This window comes from Homo sapiens, chromosome 18 (genome assembly GCF_000001405.40).
Source record: "Homo sapiens chromosome 18, GRCh38.p14 Primary Assembly".
Classification (NCBI taxonomy): domain Eukaryota; kingdom Metazoa; phylum Chordata; class Mammalia; order Primates; family Hominidae; genus Homo; species Homo sapiens.
Window position 1 is genome coordinate 12,450,356 of NC_000018.10, and position 13,956 is coordinate 12,464,311.

Consider the following 13,956-nt stretch of genomic DNA (forward strand, 5'->3'; position numbering starts at 1 on the left):
TCTCAAAAAACAAAAAAAGAAAAGGAAAGAAAGCAGAAAACATGTCTTATTAAGACAGGCACTGCCCAGACTATCGAACAATACAGTCAGGATGGCTAAAGGTGACCCCAAGAAACCAAAGGGCAAGATGTCTGCTTATGCCTTTTTGTGCAGACGTGCAGAGAAGAACATAAGAAGAAGAGCCCAGCGGTCTCTGTCAATTTTGCAGAATTTTCCAAGAAGTGCTCTGAGAGGTGGAAGACAATGTCTGGGAAAGAGAAGTCTAAATTTGATGAAATGGCAAAGGTGGATAAAGTACACTACCACTGGGAAATGAAGGATTATGGACCAGCTAAGGGAGGCAAGAAGAAGGATCCTAATGCCCCGAAAAAGCCACCGTCTGGATTCTTCCTGCTCTGTTCAGAATTCCACCCCAAGATCAAATTCATAAACCCTGGCATCTCTATTGGAGACATGGCAAAAAAGCTGGGTGAGATGCGGAATAACTTAAATGACAGTGAAAAGCAGCCTTACACCACTAAGGCGGCAAAGCTGAAGGAAAAGTATGAGAAGGATGTTTCTGACTATAAGTTGAAAGGAAAGTTTGATGGAGAAAAGGGTCCTGCTAAAGTTGCCCAGAAAAAGGTGGAAGAGGAAGATGAAGATGAACAAGATGAAAAGGAAGAAGGAGGGGAGGAGGAGGAGGAGGAGGAGGATGAATAAGAGACTGTCCATTTGAAAAAAAAAAAAGAAATAATACTAAAAACTCTTAACCACCCTTCTAGAATTCTTGAAAAATAGGGTATTCATCTGATTCCCAATGAACATTAGCTAACTGTAGATGGCAGGTCAGACTACGGGAAATTCAAGTAAATTTATCTTAATCCCATGACACATCCTAAAAACTAAATTTTGACTAGTTTTCTCATCATTTATGTATTTATCAAACAAGCTTCTCCCTCCCCAACAATTCCCTGTATTTGTGCGATTATTTATTGGGATTCCAAGGAGCTGGAGATAACCAGACCAACATCATAGTAAATATTTCCAGGAATGTCTGAGATAACCAGGAATCATCTACTTATTTACTATTTTAACTAAACCAAACAGGATATAAATGGGTAGTCTATAGTATGTTCAGAGTTAAGTATGGAAAACTGTAGCAGCTGTTATGTGCACTGCCTTGAGCTCACTGAAAATTCACACCCAGAGGTCTCAGAGGAGGCAGCCCAAGCACAGAGGCAGACGTTTCAGGCACAAGGTTCATGCTGGGCTCACAGCTTCCTCGCCTCGCTGTCCACAGAGCCAGGACATGTGGTTGGTAGATCAAAGCCCAGCCTCTCGGCCCTGCCAGCTTGAGGCTTGAGCTGGCCTACCTCCTTCCATCTTTCTTAAGGCCCAACACTAAACTTACCCTGCACTAAATGCAAAGGGACTGATACTGAGGTGATGTTTTTTCTTTTAAATTATTAGCTCTTGGCATAAAGCTTTATTTCTGCCTTTACAATAATAGTAAAGTCAGTCAAAGCTATGGCAGAACATTGTAAACAGGATTAAACAGATTCCTTTCAAAACTAGACAAGGAGGAAAGGATGAGACTGTTACATTCCAATTTTCAACTCCATTGAAAACAAGGTCAGTTTTAAAGATGACTCTTACAGGACACAGTAAAACAGTTATTTCTAAAGTAGAAAAAAATATAAACTCTGTGATGAAAGTATCTTTCAAGTAGCTAGCCATTATTCCTTGAAAAGTTACCTTTGGGGAAGTTTTGGAGATTTGTGTGTAAAACTGTATTAAAACCAACCAACAAACCAATAAAAACCCCTCGAGCCAAAACCCTAACACTCTACCACAGTCCTCAAGAGTAGAACTCTTCTTCTGCAAAGGATGGTTTGACAACCCAGGCCCCTTGCTCACCTGGCAATGCTCCGAAGTGGCCGATGATGGGCAGTGGAGGGTTTTTCTGACCTCATACTACTTTCCCCTCTTTGCAGAGCAGAAGGTCCCAATGAAAAGATAGGAAGAGTGGAGTATGGTTTGGAGGGCAGCCGCATCTATTATCCCAAATAAAACTGGCAATGAGCAGTACCGTTAAAGAGGCAGTCACTAAAAGGAACACAAGTATAAATGAACCAAGCTTAGCTTACCTTTTTGCAACACTGTGAGCACACCGGCCTGTAAACAAAATCATAAATGTTATTTGGCATGATACCAGGGGACGCAACTGGGAGTTAGAGAAGCCTATGGCAGTACAGTTGTAAGTTTCCACAATAAACTGCATAACTCTCCCTTCTTCTATTAGAATGTAACAAATTGACACACTGAATTGCCAAAAAGATAATCTACAGAACTTAACTCTTACACTGTCTCCTATAAAAGGATCAACTTACATGTGTTTGGAATTTTCTTATTTGTCTATCCAGGGATCACATGATAATCACATCTTATTTTTTTTCTGTTCAAACATGACATATTATTAGAATGATCTTAGTTATGTAAAAGAAGTAACATACAGAGAAACATTTTCTAGGTTCAATATCAAATAAATATTTGGCTCACTCTCTTAAGAAATCAATATTCCTAACCTACAAGGATAGCACAAGGTAACGTAACAGAGTGAGTCATTTCTAATTTTATTCCTGTTTAGAAAGATGGTGAAATAAGGAAGATAATTGGTATTTCTCTTACGACTGTTAAATTTATCTTTTCATCAATTACAAAATACCTTACCTCTTACAGAACTGACAGGTATAAGACCAAGTGAAGAAGGAAAACCTCCTGGTTCGGCAACAAAAGCAGAGCTAAAAAATACAAATTTAAGAGGAAAAAAAACATTGCCAACAGCAAATTTCCTAATATCCATGTTTGAATATGCTTTACATCTATATATAGGGGAAGCTGAACAGACAAGAGGAGGAAGACAATTCAGAAATCCTGTTTATAACAGCTGGCTCTGTGATGCTGATAATGTAGCTCTGTATTTAATTATAATTCTATTTTAAAAGGTAATAAAAGGCCACAGCTCTTAAGTGTCTCCTCATCATGGAAGGAATCTGCAGAAGGTTCTGAAAAACCCTCCTCTGTTTCTCAGATACATTTTTTTTTTTTTTTTATGAGATGGAGTCTCACTGTTTCGCCTAGGCTGGAGTGCAATGGCATGATCTTGGCTCACTGCAAGCTCCGCCTCCTGGGTTCACGCCATTCTCCTGCCTCAGCCTCCTGAGTAGCTGGGACTACAGGCACCTGCTACCAGGCCTGGCTAATTTTTTGGTATCTTTAGTAGAGATGGGGTTTCACTGTGTTAGCCAGGATGGTCTCGATCTCCTGACCTTGTGATCCGCCTGCCTAGGCCGCCCAAAGTGCTGGGATTACAGGCGTGAGCCACTGCACCCGGCCTTCTCAGATACATTTTCTTTACAGATCCTTTAAAAGTGTAATGACTAAATGCACACATGGCTTTTTTATTGAGACGGAGTCTCACTATGTCACCAGGCTGGAGTGCAGTGGCGCAATCTCAGCTCACTGCAACCTCCACCTCCTGGGTTCAAGCGATTCTCCCACCTCAGCCTCCCGAGTAGCTGGGATTACAGGCACGCACCACCATGCCCAGCTAATTTTTGCATTTTTAGTAGAGACAGGGTTTCACCATGTTGGCCAGGATGGTCTTGATATCCCAACCTCGTGATCTGCCCGCCTCAGCTTCCCGAAGTGCTGGGATTACAAGCATGAGCCACCATGCCTGGCCACATGCATGGTTTTAGGAAGACATATCGATATTTGTTATGGTTGCTTGAAAACCTTCCAGTTTTGATTTCTAAGGCAGAAACAAAAATGCCCCCTCTTGTGAACGAGACAGCACATGTACTGTCTACTAGGATATGAACATCACACATCCCAAATCCCCTCAAAGTCTGTGCCACCTGGCTAGCAGATAACTCTCCCAGGAGACTATGCATGGGACTGGCCATCCTTCTACTCTTCTGATCAATCAACTTTAAACAGCACTACCTTTCCTTTTTTCAAGGCGGTGTAGATGTCTTTATACTGTTGGTATTTTTCCAGCTCTGCCTTCACCAGGACCTGGCGAATATGCATCACTTCTTCCACAGTAAGAGCGAGGCATTCCACTGGGTAGCAGAATTCCTCCTGAAATTCAAAATGTCACGTGAATAAGAGATTCCTACCCCCTGTTCTGGAAGTGCAAAATTTCCCTTCAGATCAGACCCCTGATTAGTAGCTTCAGAGAAGAGAACAGGTTTCCCAATGACCACTGGGGCAGAGCTGGCTCCCTCTGGGGACCACATCATTTCCAATTACACTAAGACTAAAGATGGCAGAAAACATGTGGGGACCAAGTGATCTACTGAAATTTCCAATAAATGAAAGTTCCTCACGTTTGCTCAGGTATTTTGACTCAAGTAACTCTATTCCGTTAAGCAGGGCTATATTGAAATATTTCAAGCAGGGCTTGAAATCTTGAAAAAAATTTTATTCTAAACCAATTTTGTGTCAGTTGTCTTCTACACCTATGAAAAAGACATTACTTAGTGTTGTGTTGTACATTATATACCAATAGATAAAAAGCAAATCTACAGTGGTCCTTTTTTTTTTTTTCCACAACAGGGTCTCATTCTGTCACCCAGGCTGGAGGGCAGTGATGCGATCATGGGTCACTGCAGCCTTGACTTCCTGGGCTCAAGTGATCCTCCCACCTCAGCCTCCCAAGTAGCTGGGACTACAGGTGCATGCCACCATGCCCAGCTAATTTTTTTGTATTTTTTGCAGAGATGGGGTTTCACCATGTTGCCCAGGCTGGTCTTGAACTCCTGGGCTCAAGTGATCTGCCCACTTCGGCCTCCCAAAGTGCTGGGATTACAGGCGTGAGCCACCATGCCTGGCCTGGCCCTGTTTTTAAAACTCATTTGTGGTACCCAGAATAGCCAAAAGAAGATGGTTAGTAATTTTTACTGACAAGCATTATTTAGTGATCAGTTACATCAGCACACCTTTACAAATCCTAATGGTACGAGTGGAACTGGAACATGAAACTACTGGAGCATTTATATCCAAAAGGCAGTCTCTCCAGGCTGCCCCACAGTTCTCTAGATTTGTTGTTACTTTCAACAAATGCTAAATGTATAGTCAGCAATGGAAAGACTAGAGAAATGTAAAAGATTTCATAATAAATATTTATGTTGGCTGTCTTGTGTTAATGGTTTCCCTACAAGCAGCTGCGGAAGATGTTGATGTAACTGATCTCATTGAATAAGAGCCTCACACCCATCCGCTCCCCATCCGGCCCCGCACTTGATTGGTGGATCTCAGAGAAAGACAGAACAGTCTTGTGCATTCGGACCCTGCCAGGCTGCAAGGGGCCATTGTGGTGCAGTGACACTGAAACTGAATGTTCTCAGCACAAACACATTATAATTCACTCCCACACACACACAACAGCATCGCTCACAGGCACTCAGGAATCCAACACGCCAGTGAGAAAGCACATGACTATGAATGCAGTCAGTTTATGGAGTTTTAACAATCAGTTCTGTCTTTCAATCAGAGAAAAACAAAAATCAATCTAGGTTGCAAACTTGTCAAACATTAGCATTTTACTTAAAAAAGTAGTCTGAAGAACTACTGCTTCTTACTAAAAATCAATGCAAAACCATCTCTGTTCAAGCTAACTTAAGGAAGATTACATTTGCTTAAAAATGCTTTGGGAAAAATCCTGCATTTGAATTTTTAACATGAGAAGCTTATTAGTATAAGAGGACAGGGGGATGAGTTTACTCAGAAAGATTATATCATTTGCTCTAAAATGCCTAAAATACGCATTTAAAAAATTAACGATCACAGTTTTCTCTTTCAACAGGAACTACTTTCAGAGATGACAGAATTAAATCAGCGTGCCTGATACCTACTCTGTTTTGCTCCATCCTCAGAAAAAGAGTAGTGTTAGGTGGGAACAATAAACGGCCTTTTTGAGGGTTAGGCCATTAAAACTGTGCACTAAGTAAGTAGTGTTGGCTGAATACATCCGAATGATGGCATTTCTCAGCTTTTAATGTATTTCAGAAGTTTTGCTCTTATTTTTATTCATCAGTGATGAGTATAAGTAGGGTATGCCTTCTGATGGCTAACGATATGACAAAATGGCTATGCTGCAACAAAATAATGTGGGAATCTAGCACATAACCAGGGAAACACTACTAGATTTATTACGTAGCAAATAACCAGATAGCCAGATTTGTTATTGTTTGTGCTAGCAAGACAGCAGATGGTACCAACTTAACTGACTTTATGATGTGGATAACTGGGCTGTAAACCCTTCAGGCAGATGGTGATTTTTTTCATTTGTAGGGATACGCTAGCATGGCACAACAGACCTGGCAGCTTGCACCTCCCTGTCTTCAGTCTTGAGTCACAAATGGGCTTAGTAAAGCATATTTTCAACTCACTGCTTTGACCCACATGAAAATCCAGTACTTCATGGGATATAATCATTTTTCTTTCGTTTTGAGACAAGGTCTCGCTCTGTCACCCAGGCTGGAGCACAGTGGCATGATCTTGGCTCACCGCAACATCTGCCTCCCGGGTTCAAGTGATTCTTGTGCCTCAGCCCCCTGAGTAGCTGGGATTACAGGTGTGCACCACCACACCTAGCTAATTTTTGTGTAGAGATGGGGGTTCGCCATGTTGGCCAGGCTGGTCTCGAACTCCTGTCCTCAAGTGATCTGCCAGCCTCAGCCTCTCAAAGTGCTGGGATCACAGGCATGAGCAACCGCGCCTGGCCATCATGAGATATAATTTAAAAATAGTAGATTTTTGTTTGCTTTCTTGTTCTTTTTTAAAAATTTTCAAGCAGATTACCCTTTAGTGAAATAATTTCCATCCAGTCAAATGCTAATGTTTTAATTTTGGAGACTTCCCAAGGACAACAAAACTTTAATGCAACATAAAAGAAAATGATAAATAGTTACTAAAATAGTTTTAATTATTTTTTTCAGTTTACAAAAATATTAATTCGACATCTCCAAAGCCAAATTAAACTTCCACAGATCTCGCAGAGCTATTAGCACTCTGGAATGTGGAGGGCACTCAAGGCCCCAGCTAGAGCGGGAGCCCTTCCCCACCACGGCACTGCCTGGGGCTCCCACTGCATGTGTTCGGCCCGTTTGAGTGGCCAGATGTGGCCGGGTAAAGAACCACACTAGCGCACCTCTAGTTCCCTTGCTTGCTCATGTGTCAATGGGACTCCCAGATTCAGGAAAGGGAAGCTAAATCTTAGAGCGCTTTAATGAAGACAACAATGTGCTATAAGACTTTAAACTTACTTCTATGCATGTCACTAAAATTGTTGAGTTTTTTTTTTTTGATGATTATTCTGGCTATATTTTACCATTCAAGAGGGGTCAGTTAGGCAGCACGGAGATTAGACAGCATAATGTAAAATTTTGGTTATTGTGCCACAGAGAGAAATGGGAATAGTCACCTTTCTTTTCTTTTTTCTTTTTTTTTTTTTTTTGAGATGGAGTCTCGCTCTTTCGCCCAGGCTGGAGTGCAGTGGTGCGATCTCAGCTCACTGCAAGCTCCACCTCCAGGGTTCACGCCATTCTCCTGCCTCAGCCTCCTGAGTAGCTGGGACGACAGGCGCCCGCCACTGAGCCCAGCTAATTTTTTGTATTTTTAGTAGAGACGGGGTTTCACTGTGTTAGCCAGGATGGTCTCGATCTCCTGACCTCATGATCCACCCGCCTCGGCCTCCCAAAGTGCTGGGATTACAGGCGTGAGCCACTGTGCCTGGCTGGGAACAGTCATCTTTTATACAGTGTTCATGATTAGTAAAAACTTCATAAATTAACCAGTATTTGAAAATTACCCAAAATAACCATTGCTTTTTGAGTTTTTAATAAACCAAAGAGAGGCAAATTTAAATAAAAACAGCAACTATTAAGTTTACTCTTCTTAATCAACTACAAAACTCAAAGTGAAGGCCAGGCGCAGTGGCTCACGCCTGTAATCCCAGCACTTTGGGAGGCCGAGGTGGGCGGATCACGAGGTCAGGAGATGGAGACCATCCTGGCTAACATGGTGAAACCCCGTCTCTACTAAAAATACAAAAAAAAATTAGCCGGGCGTGGTGGCAGATGCCTGGAGTCCCAGCTACTCGGGAGGCTAAGGCAGGAGAATGGCGTGAACCCAGGAGGCGGAGCTTGCAGTGAGCCGATATCGCGTCACTGCACTCCAGCCTGAGTGACAGAGAGAGACTCCATCTCAAAAAAAACAAAAACAAACAAACAAAACTCAAAGTGAATCCTTTCTTTGCCTAAAGTGGTATATGGCCTTAGTGTTCAGATATCTCTGTTTGGGGAGAATTGATAATCAAATGCCAGCAGGTCTTCAGTAGAGGCAGGAGTGACAGGAGTTAAAAAGCCACCGTGGCACCTGACCACGTGCTGCCCAAGAGCACATCTAAAACGGGAAAAAGGACAGAGGTTTTTCCTGCATTTCATGACAAAGATCAGAGAAAGGAATGTTTTGTGTCTTATTTACATTGAGTCTCCTTTCCATATCAAGATGACTAAGAAAGAGTAACAAAGAAACCAGCTGCGGGGTCATCTGTCAAGGACAAGGTTAGTAAATCCAAGGCTTTAGAGAGCCAGGCCCTGCCTACTGTAGCACAAAGGCTGCTCTGAGCACCTGCTACGTGGTGGCAGAAGAGGCTTCAATATGGTCGTAGAGCTTTTTATTTCACGTAGAATTGTGAAGGTTCAAATAATGATATATTATTCTGTGTAAAAAAACCTCAAAAAACAGTAATATAATGCAGAATTATTTAAAATAGCCACATCATTAAAAAGGAAACTTGAAATTTCTCTTTGCAGAGAAGTGACGTACACACCCTGGTTGTCATAACACAGCTTCATGACAGGTGATGGGAGCACACAGGTTTCCTGAGCCCATGCCCTGGTTGTGCAGGTGTCTGTGGGTGGGCGGAGTCCACCATGGCTACCTGGCCTGGCAGGAGGATGCTCTGCTCACGGAATGAGTGAGCAAATACTCTTCTGATGGTGGGGGGAGGCCCTAGGAGGAATGCACCCCACGGGCTCAGAGTGCCTGCTGCACATGGAGAAAGGTGGCAGCACTGACTCTGCTATACAATTAGGTCACCCGAGGAGACAAACACCCACAGGTCCCCTTCATCAGATGCTGCATTTTGAGTTTGTTGTCCTTTCCCAGTTATTTCCCTCAACTGAGACCACGGCATGATCGGTGCATCCTGCACAAGGGTGGAATCAATGATTGGAAGCAAAGTGCTATCTAAGCGGTTAATTCTCAGAGAACGCAACAGTTGAGGTGTCACCGTCAGAGATACAGAGAATGAAATAATCCCAGACCCAGCAGAAAGAGGCCAACCTTTGAGGATTTCCACCTGCTGGTAAAAGCTCTCTCACACAGATAATACATAGCCCCTGCTACCCCAAACATGGCTGCTTCAAAAGGATGAGAGCTGAGCAGAGAAGCTGTTTGTATGGTAGAAAAAAGTGGTCGAAAAGGCGTCCTTGGCCATACACTGGTTATCCTAGGAACCTGAACAACAGATAAGGGAAAAAGAAAATGGCAGGGGGAAAAGAAAAGGAGAAAATAATGCTGAACACAAGTGACCTACACATAGTGATTACAGATCACAAAAGGAAAACAAAACAAAAAACACCATGAGGCTGGTACAGTCCGTGCGAACATCTGCATCCACACGTATAAATCAGTGATGAAACCACGAAGTCCTTCCTGGAGAATCTCAGCGTTCACACAGCAAGGATTTTTCTAATTTAGGGTCCTGCAAACACTCTGAGTTTCCTCAGTGGGGCTTGTTGTGATGAAGGATAGAGGCAACTCGTTACTGTGCCTGAGAAAGCATGGGGACATGTGCCAGGCAGCCACTTGCACCTGCCCCAGGAAGGTACTGCCAACACGAGGTGCCTTTAGACTGGATGGGCATTTGCCCTCGGTTATTTGACCAAATGATGAAAAAAAATGACATTTTAAACATCACAAGAAAAGGGAGGGAGATACAACAAAAATAAAAATTATCAGCCGGGCACAGTGGCTCACGCCTGTAATCTCAGCACTTTGGGAGGCCGAGGCGGGCAGATCACCTGAGGTCAGGAGTTCGAGACCAGCCTGACCAACATGGAGAAACCCCGTCTCTCCTAAGTATACAAAATTAGCCGGGTGTGGTGGCACATGCCTATAATCCCAACTACTTGGGAGGCTGAGGCAGGAGAATCGCTTCAATCCGGGAGGCGGAGGTTGTGGTGAATCGAGATTGAGCCATTGCACTCCAGCCTGCGCAACAAGAGCGGAACTCCATCTCAAAAAAAAAAAAAATTATCAACAATAAAAACATTCCTGCCATTTTCAGTTGAGGAGTTACAAATACAAAATGATTCTTTGTTTTCTAAAATGCAGCTACATTTAAAAATTAATTACACTTATAAAAACAATACTTACCAAGCTATAGGGCATTACTACAAGGTATGATTTTATGGATTTCCCAAGATAAGCTATTAGCAAGGAAGATCATTTCGTCTCTGCTGGTGCTTGGAGGCCTGCGTGGACTCTGCTCCCTGCCCTCAATCTGACCACTGTTCAGTGCTGAGCAGAGCGGCTCTCCCACTGCCTGCTCACTGAGACCTTCCTCAGTGATTGCAAGTTAGTTTATCTTGCTCTCCTTCCTGCTCCACAAAAAAACAGTGCACGGCCTGACCTCGCAACACTAAGAGCTCTGCTTTAACAGGAAACAGACACAGTCATGGGCCCTTGGGGTCAGCTGAAGGTCTCAGCATAACTTCTATTATAAGCTGAAACTACCTTGTAGCTAAGCTGATAGTTCCTTTACATTGCTAATTTTAAACTTTAAGTCTAACCTCAATAATGACATTGTATGATCACATAAAGGCCAGTTACAAGCTGAATGATAGACTGGCTTCTAGGAAAAGCTGAGTGAAGAAGAGAATACCCTAATGATTAGACTTATGAAAAAAACCACAAGTTCCCTCTTACCTATACACATGTATGTGTGTGTGTGTGTATGTATGTATATACATACATGTGTGTATGTATGTACATATGTACGTACATACATATGTGTGTATGCACGTACATATGTACGTACATACATATGTGTGGTATGTACGTACATATGTATATACATACATGCGTGTATATGTATGTACATACATATGTATATACATACATACACACACATATACACACACATACACATATGTGTGTATATATATTTTTAGAGACAGGGTCTTGCTGTGTCATCTACGCTGGGGTGGAGTGGCACATTCTTAGTTCACTGTGGCATCAAACTCCTAGGCTCAAGGGATCTTCCCTCTGCAGCATCCTGAGTAGCTGGGATTACGGGCATGCGCCACCACATCTAACTAAGTTTTTAATTAAAAATTTTGTACAGACAGGGGTTTCTTAAGTTGCCCAGGCTGGTCTCAAACTTCTGGCCTCAGGCGATTCTCCTCCTTTGGCCTCCCAAAGTGCTGGGATTACAGGTGTGAGCCACTGTGCCTGGACCCTCTTACATATTTTAAAGTTGTGATAATAGCTGTATATTTTGGTAAAAGCAATAACTTATTCACATGAAAACAAATTTTTAGATTTTTACGTTTGAATCTGTCTGGTCAGAGTTCTGTTTTCTTGTTGGTAAGTCACTGACAAGGCTATATTTAATCGAATAGCTGTGTTTTGGTGATTATTCTGGAGCTAGAAGAATCCTATCAGGAATCGCCATAAAATCATTAGTTCTTTAATTGCACTGTTTTGGCATAGAGATGAATGACCAAATATTAACATTCTAAGCTCTGTTCAAAATCCCTGTCTTCACAATAATCGCATTATCTCCCATCTGTTATTACTTTAATTGAAACTCTAATAATTCATCACAGCCTTAAAAAATGGACTTAGTATTCAATATATTCTATTATTTTTTATTCATGAATATTTGAAAACACATTAGATATTTGACTGTGGGTAGAATATTAATTACAGCTGTGCATCTTGCCTACAAATATTTCAGAAGCCAAGTGGCGCTACAAAAGAGTCTTTGGAGACCTCTGTTGGCTGGGAGATCTACTAATTCCTCCTGGCAAACCCTTGTGTGCTGCCCACTGTCCTGAGAAATGAGCACCCACTATAAGAACCTGCAAGTCTCTGGAAAACAGCAAAAACTATAAACCAGTTCAACCAAAATAACACCACTGGCCCCAAATATCACAAAACATACTAGAAAACAATGTACAGTAGTTATTAATGGATCAAAATTCTCCCTCGCTTGTACTTCTGCCTCAATAAGATCACCTACTGTAGTCATTTTGCTAAGAGTTTTTTTGGTCAATTTTTAACAATTTTTAAATGGATTAATAGCCTTTGAAAGAAAGAAAGCATTTCTTTAATAATAATCCATACTTTCAACCACTGATAAATTTTCTTGAAAAAAAAAAAGAGCTCAAAATGAACAAACACTGGTCAAGTTTCGTTTAGGTTATGGATAGAGTTTGGAGAAGGTGTCACTCTGCTGCCCAGGCTAGAGTGCAATGGTGTAGTCATAGCTCACTGCAGCCTTAACCTCCTGGGCACAAATGATCCTCTCACACCTCATCCTCTTAAGCAGCTGGGGCCACAGGTGTGCACTACCACACCTGGCTAATTATTATTATTTTTTTTTGCAGAGACGGGATCTCACAATGTTGCTCAGGCTGGTCTTGAACTCCTGGAGTCAAGTAATCCTCCCACCTTGGCCTCCCAAAGTGTTAGGATTATAGGCACGAGCCACCACGCCTGGCTGTTTGTTTTCTTTAGCTATTAAGTAAGTTATTCAAAATTCATTCTAACTTTTGCAAGTTTTTTTCTCCTTATCATCTTCATAAGAAAGCTAATGATTCTATGTCTTCTAGCTGGTCCCTAAGTTACTACAAAGTCTTTCCTGTACTTACAAGAGAGCGGGAACTCTGCCTGGAAGGCGGCAGGAACTGCCTCACGTTAGTAGGCGTTTCCTTTTCAATGGAATGTCGTCTCTGGGGTGGCTGCCGTCTCTCTGGCTGGGGTGTTGATGATATGGGCAGGAATTTTGGAGGCTCTAAAGATTGAACCAAATGAAATAAAACTTACTGTGAATTTTCTAACACAAAACCTTTTGACATTTGTGACAAACACTGTAATTCAAAGATGAATTATTTATTTCATTGGAGAGATATTTTAAGATGGTAATGGTAATCCTTAGGAGTAGACTCTGAGGGCTGTTACAGAAGAATCTTTGCAAAGTAAACTTGCTACAGAAATAGCAAGAAAAAAGGAAAAATGTTAGGTGTAGCCAGAAAGATTCCCAAATCATACCAAAATTCTCAATGTACCCTCTTTTTACATTCTCCTTTTTAAAGATAAAATAAGGAAAATCCTTCTTTCTACATGTTTACCAAGACATTTTGTCCTTAGGTTTAAATTAAACTGTATTTAAACTGCAAAAAGTAAGCTTCAGCTTTGATGTTAATATTGTACCATTGTCCTTCTCTGCCTAGTAATATTTTAAGACTGTTTAAAAGGAGACTGCTTTAGTGTCTGAACGGTTCTGGATTCCCATTTTGAAAACAAAAGGAGAACATTAGAAATAAATTATGGTGCCAGAGTTTTATTTAGTGCTTCCTCCTACTCTATCTACAGAGTAGAGCTGCTTCAATGTAGTGGGTGTGGAAAGTGAGAGTCAACACAAAGTTACATATGATCCATCTATTTAGACTGTCCCACCATGAGAAACCACTAAAGGAAAACACAGATATAATTTCCACAGTCAAGAAAAGATACAGAAATCCATTATGTGATTCAATTGGGTCCCTATAATATCCAATTGTGGATAGTCAGTACCTACTGTTTTTGATATAATCTGTGTAAATAATAAAA

At 41.7% G+C, this 13,956-nt stretch overlaps 1 protein-coding gene and 1 pseudogene across 13 annotated transcripts in view; one reads left to right on the plus strand and one right to left on the minus strand.

Annotated features, from left to right (window-relative positions):
* Positions 1-13,956, minus strand: part of SPIRE1 (spire type actin nucleation factor 1) — a 215,580-nt gene that overhangs the window by 3,844 nt on the left and 197,780 nt on the right. For 7 of the 13 annotated variants that reach the window (XM_005258122.5, XM_011525701.2, XM_024451224.2 and 4 more), the window contains 6 exons: positions 12,996-13,138; positions 9,400-9,573; positions 3,991-4,128; positions 2,713-2,783; positions 2,130-2,157; positions 1,900-2,036 (listed from right to left, as the gene is read on the minus strand). In XM_005258122.5, the coding sequence (XP_005258179.1) occupies positions 1,900-2,036; positions 2,130-2,157; positions 2,713-2,783; positions 3,991-4,128; positions 9,400-9,573; positions 12,996-13,138 (691 nt within the window). Of the gene's footprint in view, positions 1-1,899; positions 2,089-2,129; positions 2,158-2,712; positions 2,784-3,990; positions 4,129-9,399; positions 9,574-12,995; positions 13,139-13,956 lie in introns of all 13 variants that reach the window. The other 6 variants (NM_001394323.1, NM_020148.3, NM_001128626.2 and 3 more) reach the window with 2 other exon arrangements.
* Positions 59-717, plus strand: HMGB3P28 (high mobility group box 3 pseudogene 28; annotated as a pseudogene).